Raw genomic sequence first — 8456 nt, forward strand, 5'->3', positions numbered from 1 at the left:
TTAGTAAGCAGGCTCTGCCCATGTTGAAGAAAGTCTTTTGGGATCATTTATTCCTACACACCGGGGAGGGCTGGCACTACATACCAATTTAATGCCAGTATTCTCTTTCCATGACTACAAATAATAAAAATAGCCTTTTGCTTTTAAAGTTTGTTCTCCAATAAAATATGTAAAAAATAGAAACAAATGTCTTATTAGTTTCATGTAGGTATTGTTTTACTATTTATTATTGTGCTTGCATTTCAAGAAAAAGTCAAAGATACAAAGGTATAAAGAAAAACCAGAATGTTTCTCTCTATCTCTCTCTCCCTCATAGCATCCTTTTGAATGTTTATTACCAATTCTGAGAAAAATAAACCTCAAAGAATACCTAGCCCTTTCTTTACCATTGCTTTCTCTCAAATTCACACACACACACACACACACACACACACACACACACACACACGGGCTCCTTGTCAATGAGGCTGGCTGATAACAAAGGAAGACATGGTGACTTTGCTTAGTGCTTGCATGAAAACATCCTTCCTTTCTGCCCACCCTGCCACTCACCGTCAAGCTACAAGAAAAGCTATGGGCCTCAAAATCTTTGGTTAGTGCTAGGCGAAAGGCAGAAGAGGAAGATAGATGCTAACGTTTTGAAGTGACTAGATAGAATTCAGATAAACCAAAAGGAAAATATTAACATTTTGAAGAAAGAAAAATCAGTTTTTATCTTTACACAGAAAAGTTGGGTGGAATTTTTCTATTTCCATATTTCTCTATAGGACCATGGGAACATTGCACATTACATCTTGTGTGTGCATGCACACACACACACGTACATGTGCTTTTGTGCATGCGTGCACATGTTCAGCTAATTTACGTGGTAAATACAACTCTTCCTTCTGATTTCAATATGCATAATCTCATTTAATATTTGAGCTCTCCTGACAGACAGTTTGTTCAGCAAATACTGAGAAACACTCACCATCAGTTTAGAATATAAAATTCCCTTAACACCCATCTGAGTTATTTGTCTGAATGTCTTCTACAAAGGCCTCAGCCCTATAACTAAAATGAGATAGACATGAGTGCACAGTTGTTCATTGTTCTTTCACTTGACTTATTAATCGTTATATGATTTACTGGATTTGCTTCTTTTTTTTACAATAGCTTTATTGAGATATAGTTTACATACTGTCAGGCCTCTGAGCCTAAGCTAAGCCATCATATCCCCTGTGACCTAAATGTACACATGTAGGTGGCCTGTTCCTGCCTTAACTGATGACATTCTACCACAAAAGAAATGAAAATGGCCTGTTCCTGCCTTAACTGATGGCATTATCTTGTGAAATTCCTTCTTCTGGCTCAAAAGCCCCTTTACTGAGCACCTTGTGACCTCTACTCCTGCCTGCCAGAGAACAACCTCCCTTTTTCCTTTACTTACCTAAATCCTATAAAACGGTCCTACCCCATCTCCTTTCGCTGACTCTCTTTTCGGACTCAGCTTGCCTGCACCTAGGTGATTAAAAGCTTTATTGCTCACACAAAGCCTGTTTGGTGGTCACACAGACACACATGAAATTTGGTGCCGTGACTCGGATCAGGGGACCTCCCTTAGGAGACCAATCCCCTGTCCTCCTGTTCTTTGCTCCGGAAGAAAGATCCACCTACGACATCAGTTCCTCTGACCAACCAGCCCAAGGAACATCTCACCGATTTTAAATCCGGTAAGCAGCCTCTTTTTACTCTCTTCTCCAACCTCCCTCACTATCCCTCAACCTCTTTCTCCTTTCAATCTTGGCGCCACACTTCAATCTCTCCCTTCTCTTAATTTCAATTCCTTTCATTTTCTGGTAGAGACAAAGGAGACACGTTTTATCCCTGGACCCAGAACTCCGGCGCTGGTCACGGACTGGGAAGGCAGGCTTCCCTTGGTGTTTAATCATCGCAAGGACGCCTCTGATTATTCACCCACGTTTCAGAGGTGTCAGACCACGCAGGGACACCTGCCTTGGTCCTTCACCCTTAGTGGCAAGTCCCACTTTTCTGGGGGAAGGGCAAGTACCCCAGCCCCTTCTCTCCGTGTCTCTACCCCTCTCCGCTTTTCTGGAGGAGGGTTAAGAACCCCTCAACCCCTTCTCCTTCACTCTTAGCGGCAAGTCCCGCTTTTCTAGGGGGCAAGAACCCCCAATCCCTTATTTCTGTGCCCTGACCTCTTATCTCTGCACCCCAATCCCTTATTTCCATGCCCCAGCCTCTTATCTCTGTACCCCATCCCTTATTTCTGCACTCTGACCTCTTATCTCTGTGCCCCAATCCCTTATTTCTGCACCCCGACCTCTTATCTCTGCACCCCGATCCCTTATTTCCATGCCCAGATCTCATCTCTGCGCCCCCATCTCTTATTTCCACACTCCGACCTCTTATCTCTGCGCCCCAACCCCTTATTTCTGCACCCCGACCCCTTTCTCGCTTTTCTGGAGGGTAAGAACCCCCGAACCCCTTCCCTCCGTGTCTCTACTCTCTCTTTTCTCTGGGCTTGCCTCCTTCACTATAGGCAATCTTCCACCCTCCATTCCTCTTTCTTCTCCCTTAGCCTGTGTTCTTAAGAACTTAAAACCTCTTCAATTCTCACCTGACCTAAAATCTAAGCATCTTATTTTCTTCTGCAATGCCGCTTGACCCCAATACAAACTCGACAGTAGTTCCAAATAGTCAGAAAATGGCACTTTCAATTTTTCCATCTTGCAAGATCTAAATAATTCTTGTCGTAAAATAGGCAAACTGTCTGAGGTGCCTGACGTCCAGGCCTTCTTTTACACATCAGTCCCTCCCTAGTCTCTGTGCCCAGTGCAACTCATCCCAAATCTTCCTTCTTTCCCTCCCGCCTGTCCCCTCAGTCCCAACCCCAAGCGTCTTTGAGTCTTTCTAATCTTCCTTTTCTACAGACCCATCTGACCTCTCCCTTCCTCCCCAGGCTGCTCCTCGCCAGGCTGAGCTATGTCCCAATTCTTCCTCAGCCTCTGCTCCTCCACCCTATAATCCTTCTACCACCTCCCCTCTTCACACCTGGTCCGGCTTATAGTTTCGTTCAGTGACTAGCCCTCCCTCACCTGCCCAGCAATTTACTCTTAAAAAGGTGGCTGAAGCTAAAGGCATAGTCAAGGTTAATGCTCCTTTTTCTTTATCAGACCTCTCCCAAATCAGTGAGCGTTTAGGCTCTTTCATCAAATATGAAAAACCCAGCCCGGTTCATGGCTCATTCGGCAGCAACCCTGAGACGCTTAACAGCCCTAGACCCTAAAAGGTCAAAAGGCCGTCTTATTCTCAATATACATTTTATTACCCAATCTGCTCCCGACATTAAATAAAACTCCAAAAATTAAATTCCGGCCCTCAAACCCTACAACAACACTTAATTAACCTCACCTTCAAGGTGTACAATAATAGAGGCAGCCAAGTAGCAACATATTTCTGAGTTGCAATTCTTTGCCTCCACTGTGAGACAAACCCCAGCCACATCTCCAGCACACAAGAACTCCAAACTCCTAAACTGCAGCTGCCAGGGGTTCCTCTAGAACCTCCTCCCCCAGAGGCTTGCTACAAGTGCCAGAAATCTGGCCACTGGGCCAAGGAATGCCCACAGCCCGGGATTCCTCCTAAGCCATGTCCCATCTGTGCGGGACCCCACTGAAAATTGGACTGTTCAACTCACCTGGCAGCCACTTCCAGAGCCCCTGGAACTCTGGCCCAAGGCTCTCTGACTCCTTCCCAGATCTTCTCAGCTTAGCAGCTGAAGACTGACACTGCCCGATGGCCTCAGAAACCTACAGGACCATCACAGACGTTCTAGGTAACTCTCACAGTGGGGGGTAAGTCCGTCCCCTTCTTGATCAATACGGAGGCTACTCACTCCACATTACTTTGTTTTCAAGGGCCTGTTTCCCTTGCTTCCATAACTGTTGTGCGTACTGACAGCCAGGCTTCTAAACCTCTTAAAACTCTGCAACTCTGGTGCCAACTCAGGCAATACTCTTTTAAGCACTCCTTTTTAGTTATCCCCACCTGCCCGGTTCCCTTATTAGGCCAAGACACTTAAACTAAATTATCTGCTTCCCTGATTATTCCTGGGCTACAGCCACACCTCATTGCCACCTTTTCCCCCAGTTCAAAGCCTCCTTCACATCCTCCCCTTGTATCTCCCCACCTTAACCCACAAGTATAAGACACCTCTACTCCCTCCTTAGCGACCGATCATGCACCCCTTACCATCCCATTAAAACCTAATCACTCTTACCTCGCTCAGTGCCAATATCCCATCCCACAGCATGCTTTGAAAGGATTAAAGCCTGTTATCACTCGCCTGTTACAGCATGGCCTTTTAAAGCATATAAACTCTTCTTACCATTCCCCCATTTTACCTGTCCTAAAACCAGACAAGCCTTACAAGTTAGTTCAGGATCTGCGCCTTATCAACCAAATTGTTTTGCCTATCCACCCCATGGTGCCAAACCCGTATACTCTCCTATCCTCAATACCTCCCTCTACCACCCGTTATTCTGTTCTGGATCTCAAACATGCTTTCTTTACTGTTCCTTTGCACCCTTCATCCCAGCCTCTCTTTGCTTTCACTTAGACTGACCCTGACACCCATTAGGCTCAGCAAATTACCTGGGCTGTACTGCCGCAAGGCTTCACAGACAGCCCCCATTACTTCAGTCAAGCCCAAATTTCATCCTCATCTGTTACCTATCTTGGCATAATTCTCATAAAAACACATGTGCTCTCCCTGCTGATCGTGTCCGATTAATCTCCCAAACCTCAATCCCTTACAAAACAATAACTCCTTTCCTTCCTAGGCTTGGTTAGTGCGGTCAGAATTCTTACACAAGAGCCAGGACCGCACCCTGTAGCCTTTCTGTCCAAACGACTTAACCTTACTGTTTTAGCCTAGCCCTCATGTCTCCATGCAGCGGCTGCTGCCGCCCTAATACTTTTAGAGGCCCTAAAAATCACGAACTATGCTCAACTCACTCTCTACATTTCTTATAACTTCCAAAATCTATTTTCTTCCTCATACCTGACGCGTATACTTTCTGCTCCCCGGCTCCTTCAGCTGTACTCACTCTTTGTTAAGTCCCACAATTACCATTGTTCCTGGCGTGGACTTCATTCTGGCTCCCACATTACTCCTGATACCACACCTGACCCCCATGCCTGTATCTCTCTGATCCACCTGACATTCACCCCATTTCCCCATATTTCCTTCTTTCCTGTTCCTCACCCTGATCACGCTTGATTTATTGATGGCGGTTCCACCAGGCCTAATCGCCACACACCAGCAAAGGCAGGCTATGCTATAGTACAAGCCACTAGCCCGCCTCTTAGAACCTCTCATTTCCTTTCCATCGTGGAAATCTATCCTCAAGGAAATAACTTCTCAGTGTTCCATCTGCTATTCTACTACTCCTCAGGGATTATTCAGGCCCCCTCCCTTCCCTACACATCAAGCTCGAGGATTTGCCCCCACCCAGGACTGGCAAATTAGCTTTACTCAACATGCCCCAAGTCAGAGAACTAAAATACCTCTTAGTCTAGGTAGACACTTTCACTGGATAGGTAGAGGCCTTTCCTACAGGGTCTGAGAAGGCCACCGCAGTCATTTCTTCCCTTCTGTCAGACCTAATTCCTCAGTTTAGCTTTCCCATCTCTATACAGTCTGATAACAGACTAGCCTTTATTAGTCAAATCAGCCAAGCAGTTTTTCAGGCTCTTGGTATTCAGTGAAACCTTTATATCCCTTACAGTCCTCCGTCTTCAGGAAAGGTAGAATGGACTAATGGTCTTTTAAAAACACACCTCACCAAGCTCAGTCACCAACTTTAAAAGGACTGGACAATACTTTTACCTTTTTCTTTTCTCAGAATTCAGGCCTGCCCTCGGAATGTTACAGGGTACGGTCCATTTGAGCTCCTGTATGGATGCTCCTTTTTATTAAGCCCCAGTCTCATTTCAGACACCAGACCAACTTAGACTGTGCCCCCCAAAAAACTTGTCATCCCTACTATCTTCTGTCTAGTCATACTCCTATTCACCATTCTCAACTACTCATACATGCCCTGCTCTTGTTTACACTGCTGGCTTACACTGTTTTTCCAAGCTGTCACAGCTGATATCTCCTGGTGCTATCCCCAAACTGCCACTCTTAACTCTTGAAGTAAATAAATAATCTTTGCTAGCAGGACTATGCTGAATCTCCTTAGGCACTCTCTAATTAGATGTCCTGGGTCCTCCCAATTCTTAGACCTTTAATACCTGTTTTTCTCCTCCTCTTATTCCGTTTAGTTTTTCAATTCATACAAAACCGTATCCAGGCCATCACCAATAATTCTAAATGACAAATGTTTCTTCTAACAGTCCCACAATATCACCCCTTACCACAAAATCTTCCTTCAGCTTAATCTCTCCCACTCTAGGTTCCCGTGCCGCCCCTAATCCCGCTCGAAGCAGCCCTGAGAAACATCGCCAATTATCTCTCCATACCATCCCCCAAAATTTTCGCCATCCCAACGCTTTACCACTATTTCCTTTTATTTTTCATATTAATATAAGAAGACAGGAATGTCAGGCCTCTAAGCCCAAGCTAAGCCATCATATCCCCTGTGACCTGCACTTACACATCCAGATGGCCGGTTCCTGCCTTAACTGATGACATTCCACCACAAAAGAAATGAAAATGGCCTGTTCCTGCCTTAACTGATGGCATTATCTTGTGAAATTCCTTCTCCTGGCTCATCCTGGCTCAAAAGCTCCCCTACTGAGCACCTTGTGACGACCACTCCTGCCTGCCAGAGAACAACCCCCCTTTTTCCTTTACCTACCCAAATCCTATAAAACGGCCCCGCCCCTATCTCCCTTTGCTGACTCTCTTTTCGGACTCAGCCCGCCTGCACCCAGGTGATTAAAAGCTTTATTGCTCACACAAAGCCTGTTTGGTGGTCTCTTCACACAGATGCGCATGAAACATACTATACCATTTATCCTTTTAAAATGTACTATCCGATGGTTTTTAGTGTATTCAGGGTTGCTCTAATTTTAGAATTAGTATCTAATTAGATAATCAGTATCTAATTTTAGAATATTTCACCCCCAAAAGCCTCATTTTTATTAACAGCCACTCCCCCTTTCTTTCACCCCAGCCCCTGGCAAACACTAATCTACTTTCTGACTCTATGGATTTTCCTCTTCTGGTGTATTTCGCCTTTTCTTTCACAGAATTACACAAATTATCTCAACCCCAATCAGTCACCTGGCATGTTTCACTTGGGGATTCAAGTCAGAGCTATATCTCCATTAATAGGAAAAATGTATATTTAAAAATCTCTTTTAAGAGAAAATAATCTTGAGCTTATGGCTTAAAGAATAGTGTCTTATAAATGATGAAGCTTCCTTAGATGCGTTAATTAATTTCAACAAATATTCACTGAGGCACTGAACCAGTGGGTCTCCAGGTGTGGTTTTTAATGGCCTACATCACAACCACCTGGGGATACTTATTAAGGATGTAGATACTTGGGATTTGCCTCACATCTACTAAATTAGATGTTCAGGGAAGGGGCAAGGGAATCATCATCTTTTTTTTTTTTTTTTTTTTTTTTAGACGGAGTCTGGCTGTGTCGCCAGGCTGGAGTGCAGTGTGATGATCTTGGCTCACTGCAACCTCCGCCTCCTGGGTTCAAGCGACCGGGTTTCACCATGTTGGCCAGGAGGGTCTAATCCTCTAACCTCGTGATCCGCTTGCCTTGGCCTCCCAAAGTGCTGGGATTACAAGTGTGAGCCCCTGCACCTGGCTGGGAATCATCATCTTAACAGGGCCCCTGTGTGCTATTCTTATGCACACTAACATTTGCCAATCAGAGGTCCACCCTGTACTAAGGTCTGGGGGTAAAATAGATGATTAAGACACAGAATTTGATATCAGGTCATTTCAACACACTTAGCCTACACATTATGCCAATGATATTTTAGCAAAATTATATAAATACATTGATAGGGGAAGGAGCACTGAAAGAAAAGATTCCCGGTGATCAACCACTTTCTGCGTCTTACAAAGTACTTTACAAATACTGTTTCTCTTATGAAGTGCATCACCCAGTACCAGTTGCTGTGACATATATGTTTCCCATATTAGACCTTGCACAGAAATACTCATATTAGCATAAATTTATTCATTTATTTAAGAAATGAATATCCATTGAGTTACAACTATGTGTTCAGCCCTGCTAAGGCAGCAAACAAAATAAAGTCTCTAAACTGTAAAACTAAGGAAAGGAGAAGACCAATACAAGAAAGAAAGAACGCTGTGAATAGGGGAAGTCTTCCTGGAAAGACTAAAATGAACTCCTTCTCAGAGGATATGTAGGATTTGTGTGGGAACAAGTAGAGGCAACTCCTGTAGTGGAAGATACATA

At 44.5% G+C, this 8456-nt stretch overlaps 2 annotated features.

Annotated features, from left to right (window-relative positions):
• Positions 6392 to 7114: an enhancer, noted in NCBI's record as "OCT4-NANOG hESC enhancer chr1:239269747-239270469 (GRCh37/hg19 assembly coordinates)". NCBI's record gives its function as "activates a minimal SCP1, AML or CMV promoter by ChIP-STARR-seq in naive and primed H9 embryonic stem cells {active_cell/tissue: H9 hESC(naive and primed)}" and the evidence as "EXISTENCE:reporter gene assay evidence [ECO:0000049][PMID:30033119]".
• Positions 7750 to 8249: an enhancer, noted in NCBI's record as "OCT4-NANOG-H3K27ac hESC enhancer chr1:239271105-239271604 (GRCh37/hg19 assembly coordinates)". NCBI's record gives its function as "activates a minimal SCP1, AML or CMV promoter by ChIP-STARR-seq in primed H9 embryonic stem cells {active_cell/tissue: H9 hESC(primed)}" and the evidence as "EXISTENCE:reporter gene assay evidence [ECO:0000049][PMID:30033119]".

The sequence above is a fragment of the Homo sapiens genome, chromosome 1, assembly GCF_000001405.40.
Source record: "Homo sapiens chromosome 1, GRCh38.p14 Primary Assembly".
In the NCBI taxonomy this organism is placed as follows: Eukaryota; Metazoa; Chordata; class Mammalia; order Primates; family Hominidae; genus Homo; species Homo sapiens.